Consider the following 20,323-nt stretch of genomic DNA (forward strand, 5'->3'; position numbering starts at 1 on the left):
TCCACCTCCCTTGGCTTCCCAAAGTGCTGGGATTACAGGTGTGCGCCACCGTGCCTGACATATTCCCCAAGTTTTTGACAAAATACATTGGCAAATATTGCTTTTTGGGAGGCATACTCCTCCTGTCTCCAAAAGTGGGTACTTACCGGCTCCTGCGTCCTGCTGGGTGACAGGTCTAAAGGCAATGGGTGCGCTGTGCACAAGGTCTCCAGCTCACCAGACAGGAAGAAGGGGCTGCTTTCGTTTGCAAAGGCAGCTCTGTGGGCTTTGGGGGTTGGGAATCAGTGAGGTGAACATTCCCGAAGTCCTGGATACAATCCGAAGGCTCCGGCTGGTTGCCAACAATGCCATAGCATTTCAATCAGAGACCTGGAGGGGCTGTGAGTTTGCCCTGTGTTGAAACCAGACTCGGCTCGGGTTGTAAGTTGCATCAGTCCAGAGACTCTGACTACAAGCTCTCTGGCTGGTTCTGTTTCTATGCCTTGAGCCTGCGGTTTTCCTTCTGTAAACCCCCACTGACACTGGGACCTGCTGCCCCACAACCCGCACATGCTTCACCCCATGGCAAGCAGCCAGCCACACCCAGGGCTTCATGGGGCTTCACTCCTGGTGAGCACTGGCCACAGCCCTGTGACTTTCTCCACCACATGCCAAGGAAAGCTCCCATCTTCTAATGCCAGCTGGGCACTGGGCCCTCGCTGCCTGTGAACCCAATAGTAAGGATGGCCCGTCTCAGGTCCTGTCCTCTTGAGGGTTCGATGCCAGCAGTCATTTCTGCTGCAAAAAGCCTGTCTTGCTCAGAGTGACCCTGCTGTAAAGAGCCAGGAGCCAAACTCGATGCCACTAACCAAGAGAAACACCCTTGGGAGACACCGAGGGGATTCTAAAGGAAATCCCTCCTCACCCCACTTAGAATGCAGGGTTGAGACCCCAGTACAGACCTCACAGCTGCCCCATATGACCCAGCATCTGGGTCCCAGGATCCAGGCCCCCAGCACATGGCTGCCACCTCATGCTCTTCTCTTGCGCCTTCTAGGTCCCATTGAGGGCGGAAGCTCACCCCGACATAGGCCGAGGTGGCCTTGGGGTGTAGAGAGCAGGTGGCCTGCCCGACTGGGGATGGGAGTTTGCTTTGTGGAGGAAGGAGAATGGGAGCCAGCCGTTGGGAGCAGGCTGATGTTAGACAGGAGGGAGAGCGAGGACTTCTTGGCAGGGCCTTTCCCACCGCAGGGGGCACCTAGAGGCCCCCACCTGCCACAGGGCGCAGGCCCTCCTCACCCCTCTGTCTGCTGCTTCGGGCTCCACAGCTCCACAGTGCCTCCCGTGTGACTGGGCCAGGGCTTGATCTTCACCTCCTCTGTCATAGATGGTCTGCAGGACAATGATGATTCATTCTTCAACACATGCGTCAGAGCCTGGGACACACGACGCTCAAAGAATGTGACTTCCTTTTTAGGCCCCAGGCCCTCGACCTCCACGACCCACTGCTCTGGGGCTCTGATTCTGCATCTCCCTTTTTCCACGTGGTCCCTGTACTCTGCTCTGGGGGTCTCCAGCCAGGCCCTGCCCTCCTCCCAGCCGCCTGGGAGATTCTTCACTCCCGTTTCTCAGACAGCCCCAAAAGCACCCATTCTGAGTTCAAGCAGGACACCATACAGAAAGAGCTGTCTTTGGAGTTAGGCAGACGTGGGTTCAGGTTCTGGCTCTGTTTCCACTTGCTGGCATTGCCCCTTGGGCAATTAGATCCCTAACCTCTCTGACCTTCCATGGTGTCACCTGTAAAAGAGAGGAGAATGATAGTAATAGGGATTGTTGTGAAAAAGAAATGCAACTGCGCCTGTAAGGTACCAGTCATAATCCTAACAAAAGCCAAGCACCTTGTATGGATTATCTCATTTAATCCTCAAAGCAACTCTGCCCATTGTACAGGTGAAGAAATGAGACTTCAGCAGCTTCTCCTGGTAGAGGCTGGATTCTCACCTGGGCGGTTCGGCCCCAGGACCTCCATTCACAATGACTGCACTGTCATTCCCACATCTAGGTAACACTTCCAATGAGAGAAGTGCTTCCTTTTTCTGTCCTATTGGGCTTTATGTCACTGACGTCGCAGACCCTTCCTGGGTCCCAGTCATGCCCCACCAGGTCCAGGCAGTGCTCGGTGGCAGAAGCCTGGGCAGAGTGCGGAGGGCAGATGGGACCGGCTCCCGCCGCACTTCCAGCGTCTTCCGGCCTCTGTGGCCTGGCTCCAGGCTCTGCCTTGAAGGAGCAGGGCGCTCTTGGTTGCTGGCCTGCACTGGCCCCATGCTGGAATTCACTTGATGTTCTCAATACTCCTGAGAGACACGGAAGGCAGGGACACTATCCCAGCACACATGGGCGAACCCAAGGCTCAGAGAGCTGCAGGGCCCTGCCAAGGTCACACAGCTGGGAAGAACCGAAAGCCCTGCCCGCCCAGGCGTGGTCACTCGGCATCTGCTGGCGTGGGAACCTGAAATGGGTTTCCGCCCAGGCCTTCACACTGGGATCACCCAGGAAGCAGGTTCTCTGACACTAAATCAGGATCTCGGGGGATCCTGTGTATTGGGGCGTTTCAGTGGGTCCTGTGTATTGGGGTGTTTCGGGGGATCCTGTGTATTGGGGTGTTTTGGGGGATCCTGTGTATTGGGGCGTTTCAGTGGGTCCTGTGTATTGGGGTGTTTCGGGGGATCCTGTGTATTGGGGTGTTTTGGGGGATCCTGTGTATTGGGGTGTTTCGGGGGATCCTGTGTATTGGGGTGTTTCGGGGGATCCTGTGTATTGGGGTGTTTCGGGGGGTTCTGTGTATTGGGGTGTTTGGTGGGTCCTGTGTATTGGGGTGCTCGGGCGGGTCCTGTGTATTGGGGTGCTCGGGCGGGTCCTGTGTATTGGGGTGTTTTGAGGGGTCCTGTGTATTGGGGTGTTTCGGCGGGTCCTGTGTATTGGGGTGTTTCGGCGGGTCCTGTGTATTGGGGTGTTTCGGCGGGTCCTGTGTATTGGGGTGTTTGGGCGGGTCCTGTGTATTGGGGTGTTTTGGGGGGTCCTGTGTATTGGGGTGTTTTGGGGGGTCCTGTGTATTGGGGTGTTTGGGTAGATCCTGTGTATTGGGGTGTTTCAGCAGATCCTGTGTATTGGGGTGTTTTTTAGTCTCCCCAGGTGAGTTGAATATGCAGCCAGGATGGGAATGCTGACACCACAGGGAGGAGAAAGGGGGCTGAGTAAGGTTTTCCCCAGAATCCCCATGAACAAGATGATTTCAGAACAAACAGTGCTGGTGGAGGATGCAGGGATGCGTCTGCTGAAACCCGGCCTCGCCTGGGACATTGTCAGCTTGGAAACCGCTGAGTGAAACGAAGCTTACATGTGTGTGGTCAAGGCTGTTGACAAAGACAAAAGAACAAAATATTTACACAGGAAACAACAACCAAAAAAAAAAGAAGAAGAAAGCAAACGTCGTGTCATGGAACTGCTGAGTGCGTTTTTGCTCGAACATCCCCTGGGGAGATTTACTGATTTCTGGAACGCCTCTCCTTTGGGCATCCTGTGACCGCCTTTCAGGAGGAATCTGGATGTACATTTCCTCTGGTCTGTGTGTGTCCTTCACACACACTCAATGAATGTCAAGCCCAGTGGCGGGGAGGGGTCACGGTGTCCCTGTTGTCTGCCCAGACCAGCCTGGCCAATATGGTGAAACCCCATCTCTACTAAAAATACAAAATTAGCCAAGTGTGGTGGTGCGTGCCTGTAATCCCAGCTACTTGGGAGGCTGAGGCAGGAGAATCGCTTGAACCCAGGAGGCAGAGGTTGTAGTGAGCCAAGATGGCGCCACTGCACTCCAGCCTGGGGGAGAGAGTGAGACTCTGTCTCAAAAAAAAAAAAAAAAAAAGGAGGATCTGGCTTCTAGAATGAAACCCCAGAGTACAAAACCAACACCAGTGGCTTAGGGCTACTGAGATTAAGACTGGTGTGGACATCAGAGCAGCTCAGAGATGGAAGGGCTTTGCTCCCCACCATGGTGCACTAGAGGCCGGTGGCGCCTGGCAGACAGATGCAGGGGGAAGTCGCACATAAAACCTGGGTTATGGTACTCGGTACCAGGAACACTCTCCCTGGACCTTAAACCTCAGCGGAAGGATGTGGGCTTTCTGGTGAGTGCTTTGAGAAACCACCATCTGAGCACACAAAGGGCGCTATGATATTCCAAGTTTCCAGAGCCACACAGAGCCACCTACCCGGTGCTGCGTTTCACAGACAGACGCCTGATTGCCCTTTCTGTTTCCCATGACTGTCGTCTTCTGCACGCATCCTTCCCATGTGGGACCTGGCCTGCTCCCAGAGCAGGTGTTTGCCCCACTGAGCGATGCTGCAGAGCCAGGCCTCGAGCCTGCCCGCCAGCCCCGTCGTCGGCTGTTGGGGTGGCATTTTATATTTGGCATCGATATCCCCTGGGACTTGGATAGAGAGTCGCCTCCTGTCTGACTATTCTTTGGCTATTAAAAACAGAGCTGGGGACCAGGCGCAGTGGCTCACCCCTGTAATCCCAACACTTTGAGAGGCCAAGGCGGGTGGATTGCCTGAGGTCAGGAGTTCAAGATCAGCCTGGCCAACATGGGGAAAACCTGTCTCTGCTAAAAATACAAAAAAATTAGCCGGGCATGGTGGCGGGCGCCTGTAATCCCAGTTACTAGGGAGGCTGAGGCAGGAGAATCACTTGAACCTGAGAGGCGGAGGTTGCAGTGAGCCGAGATCACAACATTGCACTCCAGCCTGGGCAACAAGAGCGAAACTCCGTCTCAAAACAAAAACAATCAAAAAAGAGCTGAGCCAGGCTGAGTGGCTCACGCCTGTAAGCAGCATGTTTGGAGCATGCAGGAGAGCTGGAGCGTGGGGGAATGTGGTTTTTCAGAATGGAGGGTGGCATCATTTCTTCATTCCTCAGGATGGAGTTGGGGCTGCTGTCCCGGTGTGCCCAGGATTATCCTGGTTTTGGCAAGGGCCTAGCATTCAATCTGGTGGCTTCAGCACCCACCACACCTCCTAGAACCCAGTAAGCTCTTGACGCATGTCTGTGGGATGCATGGAAGAATGAGTCACCCTACCTCAAGAAATGTTGATGACTCTGTTTCCTAAGAGAGTAAGATTGACAAATATTTATCACTCAGATTGGTACTAGTCCCTGCTTGGCAGGTAAGTCAGAAGGTTACTTCTGCACACAAAATACAGGGGAGACTGGGTGCATTGCCTCACACTTGTAGTCCCAACATTTTGGGAGGCCAAGGTGGGAGGATTGCTTGAGCCCAGGAGTTTCAGACCAGCCTGAGCAACATGGCAAGACTCCCATTTCTACAAAAAAAAAAAAAAAAAAAAAATTAATTACCCAGGTGTGGTAGCATGTGCTATAGTCCCAGCTACTTGGGAGGCTGAGGCAGGAGGATCACTGAGCCCAGGAGGCGGAGGCTACAGTGAGCCATGATCTTACCACTACACTCTAGCCTAGGTGACAGAGTGAGACCCTGTTAAAAAAGAAAAAATACAGAGGTGCTCTTGCCCATATTTGTCTCTTCTTAGGATCATGAAACATTTGCCCAGTTAGGTGGATTCATTATGGATATATAGATTATATTATCAGATTTTAATCAAAGTAACTGTTCTAAAATGGAGAAGTGCTTCAAAAAAAAACATAGCAAAAAAGAAAAAAAGTCCTAAAATTGAAAATAATCCTAACATACAAGCCCCAGTGAACAACAGGTGTGGTTTAACAAAAATTCTGATCTTTGTCTCCGGCTCCTGACACAGAACTCCTCAAACACTTGGACTCTCTTGAGTGACTGAACTGTCTTCTTTACGCTAATGAATGATGGGTCTTGGGGAAATGGGGCACTGAGACAGTTTCCGGGTGGGGCTGGACACCAGCAAGACCAAGCCTCGGTTGGAACTTTCAGCACCCCACCCCCCACCTCCAGGAAGGAGAGAGGGGCTGGAGAGTGAGTTGTCACTAATGGCCAGTGACTTCCTCTGTCTTGCCTGCATAGTGAAGCCTCCGCTGAAAACCCCTAAGTGATGGGGTTCGAGGAGATTCCAAGTTAGTGAACGCATCCGCACGCCAACAGGGCAGCACGTCCCAGCTCCACCGGGACGCAGGCTGCCATGACTTGGCCCCTTCTGGCACTCTCCATGTGCCTCTTCACTGGACGGCTTGTTTGTATCCTGTATAAACTGGAATGGCAAGGGGAACACTTCCCTTAGTTCAGAGAGGCGTTCTGGCGAATTAGCGAACCTGAGGGTTGGGGGTGGGGACTCCTGAATTCGAAGTCAGCTGGGCAGAAGTGTAGGTCGGCTGAGGACCCCATTTGTGGCTGGGATCTGAATGAGGCTGTCTTGTGGAACTGAGCCCTTCAACTGTGGAGTCTGATGCTAACTCCAGGTAGATAGTGTCAGAATTGAATTAACTTGTTGAACACCAAGTTGGTGTTAGAGAATTGGAGAACCACACAACAGGTAACCGAGCTGACAAATATCAAGTAAAAGCAATAGAGACCTAATCCAATGTGATGAGAAGTCAGCACCCCTCCCTTTTCTAAACTACCAAGGCTATTGGAAATGTGGATTTATGTATCTATCGTCATTGCTAACAAGAAGCCTCCCTCTAAGTCTACGCTATGCATTGGTATTGGATCACAGCTCAAGATTCCATAAAACTATCTCAATTAGCAAAACATTTACAAAACTCAGCCTTCAGAACCCAAGACAAACCTCAACACTGTTTGTGATGTTTACAGTTCTACTCTTTATGGACTCTTGAGATTTAATGAAAAATGTTTAGAAGCTTCTTTTGAGGTGTTTTTGTTTTGTTTTTGTTTTCGTTTTTTGATGGAGTCTCGCTCTGTCGCGCAGGCTGGAGTGCAGTGGTGCAATCTCCGCTCACTGCAAGCTCTGCCTCCAGGGCTCACGCCATTCTCCAGCCTCAGCCTCCCGAGTAGCTAGGACTACAGGTGCCCGCCACCACGCCCAGCTGATTTTTTGTGTTTTTTTTTTAGTAGAGACGGGGTTTTGCCGCGTTAGCTAGGATGGTCTTGATCTCCTGACCTTGTGATCTGCCCGCCTCAGCCTCCCAAAGTGCTGTGATTACAGGTGTGAGCCACCGTGCCCAGCCTTTAGGTGTTTTTTAAAAAATGTTTATTTGTTTTTTTAAGATAGGGTCTTGCTCTGTCACCCAGGCTGGAGTGCAGTGGCACGATCACAGCTCATTGCAGCCTCGACCTCCAGGGCTCAAGCAATCCTCCCGCCACAGCCTCCCGAGTAGCTGGGACTACAGGTCCTCCCCCTAGCATGCCCAGTTAGCTAATTTTTAATTTTTTGTAGAATGAAGTCTTGCTATGTTGCCCAGGCTGGTCTTGAACTCCTGGGCTCAGGCAATGATCCTACCTTGGCCTCCCAGCGTGCTGGGATTACAGGTATGAGCCACCGTGGCCAGCCCTCTGAGGTGTTTTTTTTGTTTTTGTTTCTGTTTTAATAGAAAAAGTCCAAGAGGCAATACCAGTGGGCAAATGCTTAAATGGATTACAGACTGGAAAGCAAGATGGCAGCAAACCAAGACACATTTTTTTGGTCAACAAATAGTGCTGGAAAATGTGAAGACAACCATTAGAACAAATTATTCAGTGGGAAGTTTGCCACTCAGTTGGATGAAACTACAGATATTGTTACTGTATCTGGGAAAGGTTATGTTTCACAGATGAAGTGCATAAAGAACTCCTTTTTCATGAGCCACCAAAGGAAGGACCTGCCAGAGAAGGCATTTTCTCAACTGTAAATGACTTCTGTAATGAAAACAATGTGTTATCGAAAAACTCTGGGGCCGGGCGCGGTGGCTCACGCCTGTAATCCCAGCACTTTGGGAGGCCGAGGCGGGTGAATCACGAGGTCAGGAGATCGAGACCATCCTGGCTAACACAGTGAAACCCCGTCTCTACTAAAAGTACAAAAAATTAGCCGGGCACGGTGGCGGGTGCCTGTAGTCCCAGCTACTCGGGAGGCTGAGGCAGGAGAATGGCGTGAACCCGGGAGGCGGAGCTTGCCGTGAGCCGAGATTGTGCCACTGCACTCCAGCCTGGGCGACAGAGAGAGACTCCGTCTCAAAAAAAAAAAAAAAAAAAAAAAAAGAAAAAGAAAAACTCTGTAAGCCAGGGGGGCTGCGTTTTACTTGGAATTTAAAAGGAAAAAGGAAGGCAGAATGGGGTTACAAAGAGAGTGAAACAGGGAATTCGTTGCCTTCGTCACTGAGGCAGGTAGGGGAGGAGGCCAGAGAGCAGAGTGACCAGAAGCGGTCAGTTTCATAACGCAAGACCTTTCAACAGCTGAGCATCTTTTCAGTACCTTGCACTGAGACGAGAAGCGAAGGAAATCTTTTGTTCCGCAGAGATTCACTGGTGATCTTGTGACAGAATATTGAAAAGACCCATCGAGCCTTAAACAAACAAACAAAAAGCAAGTGCTCCAATTTTAGCGACCCTTTCTTTCATACGGTGGCTATGCGTGGTAGCAACCTAGCCGACTCTGAGAATGCAGGCACACACTCACACGATCTGCTGGAGACAGTGACATTCTGATAATCCTAAGAAAGTCATTGCTTTATATTGTGCAATTGGGCAGTTTGAACAATGTTTGGAAATGTTATTACTGCTTGATATTTTTAGGGAAGGAGCAATGAACGATTTGTCAACTAAACAACTTTCACATCTTCAGGCTGAAAAAACTTGGGGGCTGGAAAAACTTGTGGACAACAGCAATGACAAACTTGAAAACATAATTCTTTTTTTTTTTTTTTTGAGACAGAGTCGCACTGTCACCCAAGCTGGAGTGCAATGGTGTGTGATCTTGGCTCACTACAACCTCTGTCTCCTGGGTTCAAGCGATTCTCCTGCCTCAGCCTCCCAAGTAGCTGGGATTACAGGCGTGCACCACCACACCTGGCTAATTTTTGTATTTTTTTAGCAGAGATGGGGTTTCACCATGTTGACCAGGCTGGTCTCGAACTCCTGACCTCAAATGATCTGCCCGCTTCGGCCTCCCAAAGTGCTGGGATTACAGGAGTGAGCCACCATGCCCAGCCAAAAAATGTAATTCTTTATCTTGTTTAAAAATCATCCCAATGAGGAGAATTGGTAGATTTTGATCACATTTATTAAAAATATTAAAAACTTCCAGTTACTTTGCAAAAACAATAGATTGACAATAAGGATGATAACAGTTGTCAGATTTTTAAAACAAGCAAACAAAAATGTTTGCATACCAGTGGATTTAAAAGAGAAACCTGGTTTCATGTGGGTGGACAAGGCCCTTCTTCCTTCTGGCTCTCTGTAACTTTGGCTGTGTATTTTCGGCTATGACGTCCATCAAAATCAAGTATTGAAATAACTTAGAACAAGATCTTCAGATCATTAAACCAATTATTAAACCAAGATTTTGTAAGAGAACAAAGCATACCCCATCACCTTGCTTTCACCAACAAAATGTTATTTTTGAGATTATTGAGAGCGAAAGGTTATTTTTGAGCCGTTAATGGAAACCAAAATCACAATCATTTAAAAATATTGTTGATCTAACTTCATAGTAAGTCTTTCTGTTTCCATTTTTTGTGTAAGTTTTATAAGTACATGATATATAAGTACAATAATACATGTGTGGCCGGGTGCAGTGGCTCATGCCTGTGATCCCAGCACTTTGGGAAGCCAAGGTGGGTGGATCATGAGGTCAGGAGTTCGAGACCAGCCTGACCGGCATGGTGAAACCCTGTCTCTACCAAAAATACAAAAAATTAGCCAGGCATAGTGACAGGCACCTGTAATCCCAGATACTTGGGAGGCTGAGGCAGGAGAATCGCTTGGGCCCAGGAGGCGGAGGTTGCAGTGAGCTGAGATCACGCCACTGCACTCCAGCCTGGGTGACAGAGTGAGACTCTGTCTCAAAAATAAATAAATAAATAAATATTAAACTAATAAAAATATATGTGTATAGTTTGCAAAGAAACATACATATCAAAGTTAGCGCTGGGCGCGGTGCTCAAGCCTGTAATCCCAGCACTTTGGGAGGCCGAGGCGGGTGGATCACGAGGTCAGGAGATCGAGACCATCCTGGCTAACACGGGGAAACCCCGTCTCTACTAAAAATACAAAAATATTAGCCAGGTGTACGGCGGGCGCCTGTAGTCCCAGCTACTCGGGAGGCTGAGGCAGGAGAATGGCGTGAACCCGGGAGGCGGAGTTTGCAGTGAGCCAAGATTGTGCCGCTGCACTCTGCACTCCAGCCTGGGCGACAGAGCAAGACTCCGTCTCAAAAAACAACAACAACAGAAAACTAAGTTAGCTCCAAGACTTTTCACTGACAATAACAATAATCTCTATCTTTTCTGCTCCTTTGCAAAGCAACCTTGCCACAATTTCCTTAGGAAATAGTGCCAGCTTTCCCCCTCCCCTTTGAAGCTGGGCTTGTTTTGAGCAATGAAATGCGGTGGGACTAACGCTATGTAGGCTCCAAATTTTGGTCTTAAGATAGAAACAGTTTCTACCTTGGTCACTTGGGAAGCCCATTCTTGCGGTCCAACCACCAAGTTAGGAATATAGGGAGAAAAGGAGAGAAGTCTTACTGTCCCAGCCATTCCTGCAAACACCAGACACAGAGGTGGCACCGTCTTGGTTGTTCCAGCCCCAGCCATCCTGTGATAGCAGCTTCACAAGAGACCCACATCAATACCACGTGGAACCGAAGACCTGCCCAGTGGAGCCCTGCTCAAGTTCCTGACCCGCAGAACGTGAGCAAATACAGTGGTGGCTGTTTTAAACCTCTGAGCTTTGAGGTAGTTGGTTATGTAGCAAGAGGAAACTGAAGCAGACCACTAGCCTACGAGGTGAAGTCCAGACTCCTCGGCGTGCAGCACGCAAGCCACAAAAGACGTCTGTACCTTCCAAACTACAAAAACTTTGACCTATTTTTAAAAATTGTGGTAAAATATACATAACATGGCTGGGTGTGGTGGCTCACGCCTGTAATCCCAGCACTTTGGGAGCCCAAGGTGGGTGAATCACCAGAGGTCAGGAGTTCGAAACTAGCCTGGCCATCATGGCAAAAGCCTGTCTCTACTAAAAACACAAAAATTAGCCGGGCGTGGGTGGTGTGTGCCTGTAATCCCAGCTACTCGGGAGGCTGAGGCAGGAGAATCGCTTGAACCTGGGAGGCAGAGGTTGCAGTGAGCCGAGATCATGTCACTGCACTCCAGCATGGACGACAGAGCAAGACTCTGTCTCAAAAAAAAAAAAAAAAGTATACACACACCCACACACCACACACACACACACACACACACACACACACAACAGTTATCATAAGCATTTTGAAGTGTTGAAGTGTACAGGTCAATGACATTGAGTATGCTGACATTGTTATGCGACCATCACCACCGTCCATCTCCAGAACTATTTCGTTTTGCAAACCTGCAACTCCATGGCCGAGCACGGTGGGTCACACCTGTAATCCCAGCACTTTGGGAGGCCAAGGCAGGCAAATTACCTGAGGTCAGGAGTTTGAGACCAGCCTGGCCAACATGGTGAAACCCTGTCTCTACTAAAAAATACAAAAAATTAGCCAGGGCCGGGTGTGGTGGCTCACGCCTGTAATCCCAGTACTTTGGGAGCCTGAGGTGGGAGGATCACGAGGTCAGGAGATCGAGACCATCCTGGCTAACACGGTGAAATCCCGTCTCTACTAAAAATACAAAAAAAATTAGCCAGGCGTGCTGGCACACACCTGTAATCCCAGCTACTCTGGAGGCTGAGGCAGGAGAATCTCTTGAACCTGGGAGGCAGAGATTGCAGTGAGCCAAGGTCCTGCCATTGCACTCCAGCCTGGGCAACAAGAATGAAACTCCATCTCAAAAAAAATGAAGAAGAAGAAGAAGAAAAAAGCTGCAACTCCATACCCATTAAACAACAACTCCCAATTCCGCCTACCTTCCAGTCCTGCACCCACCTTCTACTTTCTGTCTGTAGCTATGGCTGCTCTAGAAGCTCACAGGAGTGGAATCACAGAGTTTTTGTCCTTTTGTGACTGGAATATTTCACTCGTATCATGTCCTCAAGGTTCAAGGTTCATTCATGGCGTAGAATGTGTCAGAGTTTTTCTTTTTTTTTCTTTCCTGAGAAGGAGTCTTGCCCTGTCACCCAGGCTTGAGTTCAGTGGTGCAGTCTTGGCACACTGCAACCTCCCCTTCCCGGGTTCAAGTGATTCTTCTGCCTCAGCCTCCTGAGTAGCAAGGATTACAGGTACCTGCCATGCCTGGCTAATTTTCTTCTTTCCTTTCTTTCTTTCTTTCTTTCTTTCTTTCTTTCTTTCTTTCTTTCTTTCTTTCTTTCTTTTTTTTTTTTGTGCGTGTGTGCGTGTGTGTGTTTAGTACAGGCGGGGTTTCACCATGTTGGCTAGGCTGGTCTTGAACTCCTGACCTCAGGTGATCCGCCCGCTTTGGCCTCCCAAAGTGCTGGGATTATAGGTGTGAGCCACCATGCCTGGCCCAGAATTTTTCTTTTTAAAGGTTGAATAGGCCAGGCGTGGTGACTCATGCCTATAATCGCAGCACTTTGGGAGGCCAAGGTGGGTGGATCACTTTATGTCAGGAGTTCGAGACCACCTTGGCCAACATGGTGAAACCCCGTCTCTACTAAAAATACAAAAATTAACCGGGCATGGTGGTGGGAGCCTGTAATCCCAGCTACTTGGGAGGCTAAGGCACAAGAATTGCTTGAACCCGGGAGGCAGAGGTTGCAGTGAGCCGAGATCCTGCCGTTGCACTTCGGTCTGGGCGACAGAGTAAGACTGTCTCTAAATAAATAAATAAATGTTGAATAATTATCTATTGGTATCCTCCAAACTTACTAGACGCCACCACAGCCTTTGCTGTTGCAGCCGGTTTGATCTATTGCCCCCCGAATATGCCTTACACGTACCTATCTCTGGTGCTTCGCTTATTCCATTTTCCCCTTTTGGAATGCTCTTCCTTTGTTCTTGGAACAAAGTTCCAAACAAAGTCCTTGTAACAAATTCCCGAGTTCTTGGCATGAACTCGAGCCCTGTTCATGCCATATTGTGCAGCTCAACCCCAACTTCTTTCAGGAAATATTCTTGAATGATGCCTTTACCCCATACCCCAGGCGCAGGCTTTCTCTCTCCTGGGGCCCGCAGATCTTACCGTCTGCACTGAGCGAAGCCTCCCTGCTACTGCTTCCCAGCCATGCGGCGAGCTCTTTGAAGGAAGCCGTGGCGGTATATTTCTCTTGTACCTCTGCTGAGCTCAGTATCAGAATGTGCACACAGCAGGTCCCTGATAAGTAAGTGCAAAAATGCATGAATAATATAATGTGTCCTAAGTCCCCTCCCTTCCAGTACATTCGATTTAACTCAGTAGACACATCCTGCGCCTGCCAGCTCATTCAGCCGCTCAGGGCTGCATCAGCCTGGAGTAGGCACGACTCAGATTTGAAGACTGATAGTCACGAACTCAAATTCCAGCTGGGCCACTCAGGGGCTGGGAGACCTTGGTCAGCCTTAATCTATTCACTCATGAGGAGGAAGATCCTAGGGGCTTTCTAGGGTTGGATGAGAAGCTGTTAGATCCCAGCAGTAAAGTATCTCATCCAGTATTTAGCACTTCAAGGTATGTAGCACACCTGGGGTTAGCGCGGTGGTGAATTTTATGAGTCATCTTGACTAGGTTAAGGGATGCTCAGATAAGCAGCAAAACATTATTCCTGGGTGTGTCAGTGCGGGGGGCGGGGTGGGGGGCATAGTTTTTGAAAGCGATTGGCATTTCCATCAGGGGACCCAGTAAAGAAGATCCGCTCTCTTCCCTGCGGGTGGGCCTCATCCAACCCATCGAGGAAGGCTTCATAGAACAAAGCGGCAGAGGAAAGGCCCATTGTCTCTCTTTTCTCCTGAGCTGGAACATGCATTTCTCCTGCCCTCCGACGTCAGAGCTCCTGGTTCTAGGGCCTTTGGACTCAGCCTGGGACCTCCATCATCAGCTTTCCTGAATCCCCAGTGCAGTGCAGACAGCAGATCTTAGGACATCGTGGCCTATGTAATCACACGCCAGTCCCTCATAATAAATCTCTTTCTACTGCTCTCTATACATCCTGTTGGTTCTGCTTCTCTGGAGAACCCTAATACAGTCAGGCACCGAGACACTGTCCCACGGCGGAAGGCACGCTTCCCCTACCCACCCTACCCTGGAGTTCTCACCAGGAACTAACCCAAAGCTCTGTGGTCAGTAACCTTTTCATATGGAGCTCAGCACAGCAGCTACAGGAGTAAGCTGCGTGTGGAAAGAAAGAAAGACAATCTCATATATCCTTTCATTATTAGACGGCCCCGTGGCCTTGTCCCTGCCCTATAATTGACCTTCGTGACTACCTGGCTTCACCCCCAACTGCGAAAGCACACCTCCGCCCTGCCACTGCCACCCGGGGCCTTATTTCACAGGAAACAAAACCGAAGGCAGGGTTTGGCTCCTGGTCACGTGACAACAAAGGGCTCGTGCTGGGACCTGGGACCACCTCAGGCTCAGAGGAAAGGCATGTCCCAGACCCGTTCCATTCAAAATCTGCGGCTGCCTGTTTTGATTCTGACATTTCCCCCCAAAGCCAAGTCCTTGGAGCAAGTGGAATTTCCAAGTTTTTTTATTGGTGGCCCCTGGTCTGATGACCCGCTCAGGAATCTATTTAAAATGTTTTTCTTTTAAATGACAGGAGTAGGTAAACAGGCTTTGAAAAAATATAAGCAATACAGATGGGTAGTACCAAGAAAAAATAGTGCCTGCCCCTCCCCGCAGCAATGCCTGGAGAGCAGACCCAGGCTAAGGAGAAGTGGCTGCCACTCGTTGAAAAAGAGCCGTCACTTTTTCACTTCTAGATTCTATCCAAGGAAAGCCCACCTTGTGGCTCCCGAAGCCACTGTTCTATTTCATTCCTATCGCTGTGAACTTCCCTGACGAGGGGTGATTCCTTGCTGCTGTGGCTTTCCTTGCTCCAGGCGCCCTCAGTGCTTGCAGCCTGGCCGCGTGTGCGCCTCTGCTGGGATGACCCGGTCCTGTTGCCCCGGGGCCCCATCGGAAGGCCGGCTTTCCCCACCTTGAGCGGCTCGGCATCTGCCGGCTGACCCCAGCCCTTCCTTCCTGGAAGCCCTTCCTTTCTCGGACTCTGACTTGCCACATGGCTTTGCTCAGATGCTCAGTCGGCGGGCAGCAGATGCCTTAAGCAGCCACTGCCGGGTGGATGTCCCATCTGGAAAGATCAGATCTGAGAGGTGATGTCATCCAGACCCAAGATCAGCAGAAACTGGGGCAAAAGCAAGCTCCGCAGCCTTCCAAAGAGTCCCGTCTGGAACCTAAGAGGGAGTTTGCCGATGAGAAAACAGGGCATGTTGGAGACGGCAGGGAGGCATGGTGTAGATTTTGTCACTCCCTGAGTAACAGAATTTGAAAAGATTGGATCAAATCAGATCAAAATGCTTACTCTGTGCTAGATGACAAAAAGAATACAAATAAATGTAAAATATGGACTCCCCCTCCAAGGAAACATAACAGTCTCCCTTCCCGGACAGTGCTGTGATTTGACTATATCAGGTAGGAGATTTAGCAGAAAAATCCAAAGCCCTGTCCTCTCATGTCACAGAGGTTCCTTGTCACCTCCAGCAGTGGCACCGACATCGTAAGGATCAGGCTCCTCCCGGTTTCAGTGTGTCCTCCCTGGGGTGCAGGACCTGTCCTTGCAGCTGCTGGAACTTGGGTCATTACGTTGAAATTCCAGCCGTGGGGACTGGAAGGGATGCTCCGCCCTTGAGGACATGAACTCCTAGAAGTGGCACACACTGCTTCTGCTCACATCTCCTTGTCCAGCACTGAGTGAGTTCAGGGAGGCGTGAAGGCGGCGCTTTCTCCAGGGGCACGTGCTCACTTTTGGGGTACCAGCTGGAAGAAGGGGAGAAGAGGCACGCAGGCATCACAAGCATTTTCAAGCAGCAAATAGTGCACTGTGGTGGGGGTAAAGGAGACACGGACGTCTGGAGGCAGCTGGCATCTGTGAGACACTGGACCGTGCCCGGGTTCTGAGACGGCACATCTGATGAAGGCCACCCAGCCTGTGTGCCCCACTCACAAAGGCGCTCAGGATCTCAGTGCTGGAGGCCCTCCAGGGCCGTGTGTCCCCGCACCTTTTGATTGAATGCACCCCTCCAGAGGCGCTGTCACCCTCCCGGGCAATTTGGCATTCCTGTAATGTACATGGTTCTTTTTCGGCTTGAACTTCAACCTGCTCGAGACTTCTACCCAGGAATAATTAAATGCAGCAACCCAGCCCTGAACTGAGTGCCTGCTCTGTGCCAGGTGGGGAGAATGTGGGGGTCGGCTGAGAAGGGGATCCCATCCTAGGATCCTAGGACCCTTCTAAATCAAGTCACAGAGCGATGCTGACAAACGGAAAATAAGTAGGTCTTTATAGCCCACAAAGTGTGCAGAGAGTGGTGCTGGGCCTCGAGTGACAGTGTGTACAGTGGTGACGGGCAGGCACCCTGAGAGATGGGGACAGTGAGGCTGCAAGGCAGGACTAGTGGGGCAGCTAAGGGACTGGGGCTTGATCTCCAGGGGCACTGGGCCAGAAACCTGCAGCAACTGAACCCCTTTCCCAGCCCCCAGAGGGCGGCCGGATGGTGGGGCCCCATCCCTGCCTGGCCTCCCCGGGCACCACTGTCCACTGTCTGCTTCCATCCCCAAGGCTCTCTGGGCCCTGGGGCAGACCTTGGAACAGGTTACTGTGGACCATGGGGACCCCCAGCACCCCCTGAAAATGCTGTCTTTTGTTCCATCAGACCCAGTAGCTCTCCAGGCTCTCCTGACCCCAGTGTCCCTGTGGAGAGGAGGCCCCAGGCACTGGGGAGCTGGGGCTTGCATCCAGGCCAGTGGCAGGGGGGCCACGCTCCCAGGGCCCGGCCACACCCCCTGGGCAGGCGGCCTGCCACACGCTGCTGGCTTTTTCCATATTTACTCCTGAACTTTCCTTCAAACAATCAAGAGGATGTACCCTCAGCCCAGCTGCCAGGATACACGTGTCCTCAGCCTTTTCCAGGGAGGGAGCTGCTGCCCTGGGGGTGGGGGGTGGGGGCAGTGCTGGGACGGGAAGGAAACCCAGCCCGCTCCATCCAGGAAGCAATAAGCCGCCATCACTGGTTCCACAGCCGCTTGTTCCTCAGTTCGGGAAAGAGGGACATCCAGCACCAGGTGGCAGCGGGTGCTGGGGGCTGCCCCTGCTCCATCCACCAGCACTCAGGCTCCCCATGTTACAGAAGGTGGCTGGTCAGACATGAGCAGGGCAGGAGAGGCACCCCCACCCCCCCAGGAGTGTCCGCGACCATCAAGGGATGGTCAGGCGGTTGGTGACTGTCTCTCTAAAATAATAATGGGGCCGGGTGTGGTGGCTCATGCCTCTAATCCCAGCACTTTGGGAGGCTGAGGCAGGTGATCACTTGAGGCCAGGAGTTCGAGACCAGCCTGGCCAAAATGGTGAAACCCCATCTCTACCGAAAATACAAAAATTAGCTGGGTGTGGTGGTGCATGCCTGTAATCCCAGCTACTCAGGAGGCTGAGGCAGGAGAATTGCTTCAACCCGGGAGGCACAGGTGGCAGTGAGCTGAAATCGCGCCACTGCACTCCAGCCTGGGCAACAGAGACTCCATTTCAAAAAAATAAAATTAAATTAAAAATAACAATAATAATAATAATTGGTTGCAGCCAGCTCCAGGGAAAGGCAGTCTCCTAATAGAAAACACCTGAAGCTGGCCATCAGCAGCTTCCCCATGAGACCTCAGGAGCTGGGCAGGTGGGCTCACACGTGTGCACCGAGAGGTGAAATGGCGGAGTATAAGCGGTATATGACATTCTAGGGACATTCGACTGGCATGGGAAGAACGCCTCAAGGGAGCATGTGTACAGCTCCAGTGCGCACACTGCGCATGCTCCCCTCCCAAGCGCTGGCCGCCACTGTGCATGCGACAGCCCATCCCGAGGGAGGAATCGGGGAGAATGGATGCAAGCCCCCGGCAGGCCACCATACAAAACCCCAAGTCAAAGGTCAAGCGTCGCACTTGTCTTTCGAGTCGCCTGCTGGGCCCGCGTCCAAGTGTACTTTCCTTTCTTTTCATTCCAGCTCTAAAGCTTTTTAATAAACTTTCACTCCTGCCCTAAAACTTGCCCCAGTCTCTCCTGCCTCATGCCCCTCAAATTCGTTCTTCTGAGGAGGTTGCTGCAGCCCTGTATGGATTCGCCGCTAACATCTTCCGCTGCCGTGTGACTCAGATAACTTCCATCGCTAACGTGGAGAGGTCTGTGCCTAAGCGGGGCCAAGTCTGTGATGGGGGCTTCCCATGGGTGGGCTTCGGGCTCTCTCTCTGTTGCTCTCTCTCTCTCTCTCTCTCTCTCGCCAGGACCTTGTTTTCCAGTCTCAATCAGCCATGCGAGGTGCTCCCTTCCACTACCTCTGAGGACACGCAATTGTTGCCAGAACCTAGAGGGCATCACTGTTGAAACTCCCCTGGGCTCGGGGGCTGTAGGCAGAGCAGAAGCCCCTCCTTTAGGCCCCCAAGCTCCACTTCAACAAACCACGTGGCTGTAACCAGGGCTTCCAGGTATGTGAGTTTGCCAGGGCTGCTGTCACATAGCACCACACACCAGGGGCTTAAACAGCAGGCACATCCTGTCTCACAGTTCTGGAGGCCAGAGACCAAGGTGTGGGCAGGGCTGGTTCCTTCTGAGGCTGTGAGGCCTCTGCCTTGGCCTTCTAGTAACTTGGGCTGAGCAGGGGGACAGAGCCGGCCTTGGCTCTTAAAGCCACAGGGCCCTTAAGGTGCCCCACAGGCTGGGGCAGGCACCACATCCAGTCCTGGAGCTGGGGGCCTTCAAATTCAACTTGCATCTGCCACCAGCATGCAGCTCGTCACCTCCCCTTCCCAGCCAAGCAGTGACAATGAAGGCCAAAATCCCTGGGAGCTGATGCCAGGTGGAAAACGCCCTCTAGATGAGGAATTGGGATGTGTGTACAATTCGAGGAATCTGATGAATAATTTGGGAGTCACTGAAGTGGGTAAGTCCACTGTATCCTTCAGCCGCGTCATGCACTGTGGAAGAACGCCGGGTGGGTTTCTTTCTCCTTTTTGATACCCACACTCACTGCCTCCCTCAATAATAAAACTGCATCCATTACAGGCCGAATTCCTGCTCCTGGAGAAGACGGGCACGGATGGGTGCAAGGGGCATTCAGGAAGGGGCTGACCCAGGGGGGCCGGAGACAGACAGCAGGGGCACTCAAGGCGATGCCGACAGGGTTCCCAGGGGCACTGAGGATGGGAGCCTGGCGGGTGAGCACCCAAGCCCAGCAAGGTCTACCCTTCCTCCCCTGGCCTGGAGGCTGTGGACCACCACCACACAGGCCCATGGGCTCAGGGCTCTCGGGCTTGCAACAGGACATGGAGAAAAGACTGAGAAGCCCAGCCCACAGTGGGGGTTTCTGGAATGTTCCCTTGGGAATGGAAGGAACAGGGACCTCTGCAAAGGCTGATTTGATTTTGTTGCCAAGCCTTTTATATAAGCCTTTCTCAGTCCCCCCACAGCCCCCCTACACTTGAATTTCTGCTTCTGGATATGTGTGCACAGATGGATAAAAATCAAACATAGAATGTGATGTCCCTCTCCAGAACATGTAAAGAACTACAATTCCTCAATGACAGCAACAGGAAAAAGCCCAGGCTGGGTGCCGTGGCTCATGCCTGTAATCCCAGCACTTTGGGAGGCTGAGGTGGGTGGGTCACCTGAGGTCAGGAGTTCGAGACCAGCCTGGCCAACATGGCAAAATACCATCTCTACTAAACATACAAAAAATTAGCCAGGTGTGGCGAATGCCTGTAATCCCAGCTACTCGGGAGGCAGAGGCAGGAGAATTGCTTGAACCCGGGAGGCGGAGGTCGCAGTGAGCCGAGATCACGCCACTGCACTCCAGCTTGGGCAACAAGAGAGAAACTCTGTCTCGAAAGAAAGAAAAAAAGTTAAACACAGAATTACCCTATGACCCAGCAGTTTCACGCCCGGGTATATATCCAAAAGAACTGAAAGCAGAGACTCCAACAGAGAGTGCACACCCATGTTCACAGCAGTGTTATTCACAGTCACCAGAAGGTGGAAGCGACCCACTTGTCCCTCCGCAGAGGGACGCATCAGTG

General features: G+C 51.3%; 1 long non-coding RNA gene across 2 annotated transcripts, besides 6 other annotated features; it reads right to left on the reverse strand.

Annotated features, from left to right (window-relative positions):
* On the reverse strand, positions 1–13,369 carry LOC105373426 (uncharacterized). 2 transcript variants are annotated; one of them, XR_001739283.2, is made up of 5 exons: positions 13,253–13,369; positions 8,392–8,482; positions 1,878–3,392; positions 1,657–1,776; positions 1–1,371 (listed from the first exon to the last, which is right to left on the reverse strand). It is a non-coding gene; the product is annotated as an uncharacterized LOC105373426 (long non-coding RNA). The 2 variants fall into 2 exon arrangements; XR_001739284.2 differs by lacking the exon at positions 1,878–3,392 and having other exon boundaries at positions 1–1,776.
* Positions 6,105–6,616: an enhancer, noted in NCBI's record as "H3K4me1 hESC enhancer chr2:10679827-10680338 (GRCh37/hg19 assembly coordinates)". NCBI's record gives its function as "activates a minimal SCP1, AML or CMV promoter by ChIP-STARR-seq in naive H9 embryonic stem cells {active_cell/tissue: H9 hESC(naive)}" and the evidence as "EXISTENCE:reporter gene assay evidence [ECO:0000049][PMID:30033119]".
* Positions 12,615–13,486: an enhancer, noted in NCBI's record as "H3K27ac hESC enhancer chr2:10686337-10687208 (GRCh37/hg19 assembly coordinates)". NCBI's record gives its function as "activates a minimal SCP1, AML or CMV promoter by ChIP-STARR-seq in naive H9 embryonic stem cells {active_cell/tissue: H9 hESC(naive)}" and the evidence as "EXISTENCE:reporter gene assay evidence [ECO:0000049][PMID:30033119]".
* Positions 13,576–14,775: an enhancer, noted in NCBI's record as "BRD4-independent group 4 enhancer chr2:10687298-10688497 (GRCh37/hg19 assembly coordinates)". NCBI's record gives its function as "activates an origin of replication core promoter dependent on BRD2, P300/CBP, MED14 and CDK7 cofactors, and independent of BRD4, by STARR-seq in HCT116 cells {active_cell/tissue: HCT116}" and the evidence as "EXISTENCE:reporter gene assay evidence [ECO:0000049][PMID:35650434]".
* Positions 13,576–15,228: a biological region, named in NCBI's record as "BRD4-independent group 4 enhancer GRCh37_chr2:10687298-10688497".
* Positions 14,357–15,228: an enhancer, noted in NCBI's record as "H3K27ac-H3K4me1 hESC enhancer chr2:10688079-10688950 (GRCh37/hg19 assembly coordinates)". NCBI's record gives its function as "activates a minimal SCP1, AML or CMV promoter by ChIP-STARR-seq in naive H9 embryonic stem cells {active_cell/tissue: H9 hESC(naive)}" and the evidence as "EXISTENCE:reporter gene assay evidence [ECO:0000049][PMID:30033119]".
* Positions 16,971–17,840: an enhancer, noted in NCBI's record as "H3K4me1 hESC enhancer chr2:10690693-10691562 (GRCh37/hg19 assembly coordinates)". NCBI's record gives its function as "activates a minimal SCP1, AML or CMV promoter by ChIP-STARR-seq in naive H9 embryonic stem cells {active_cell/tissue: H9 hESC(naive)}" and the evidence as "EXISTENCE:reporter gene assay evidence [ECO:0000049][PMID:30033119]".

This window comes from Homo sapiens, chromosome 2, assembly GCF_000001405.40.
Source record: "Homo sapiens chromosome 2, GRCh38.p14 Primary Assembly".
In the NCBI taxonomy this organism is placed as follows: domain Eukaryota; kingdom Metazoa; phylum Chordata; class Mammalia; order Primates; family Hominidae; genus Homo; species Homo sapiens.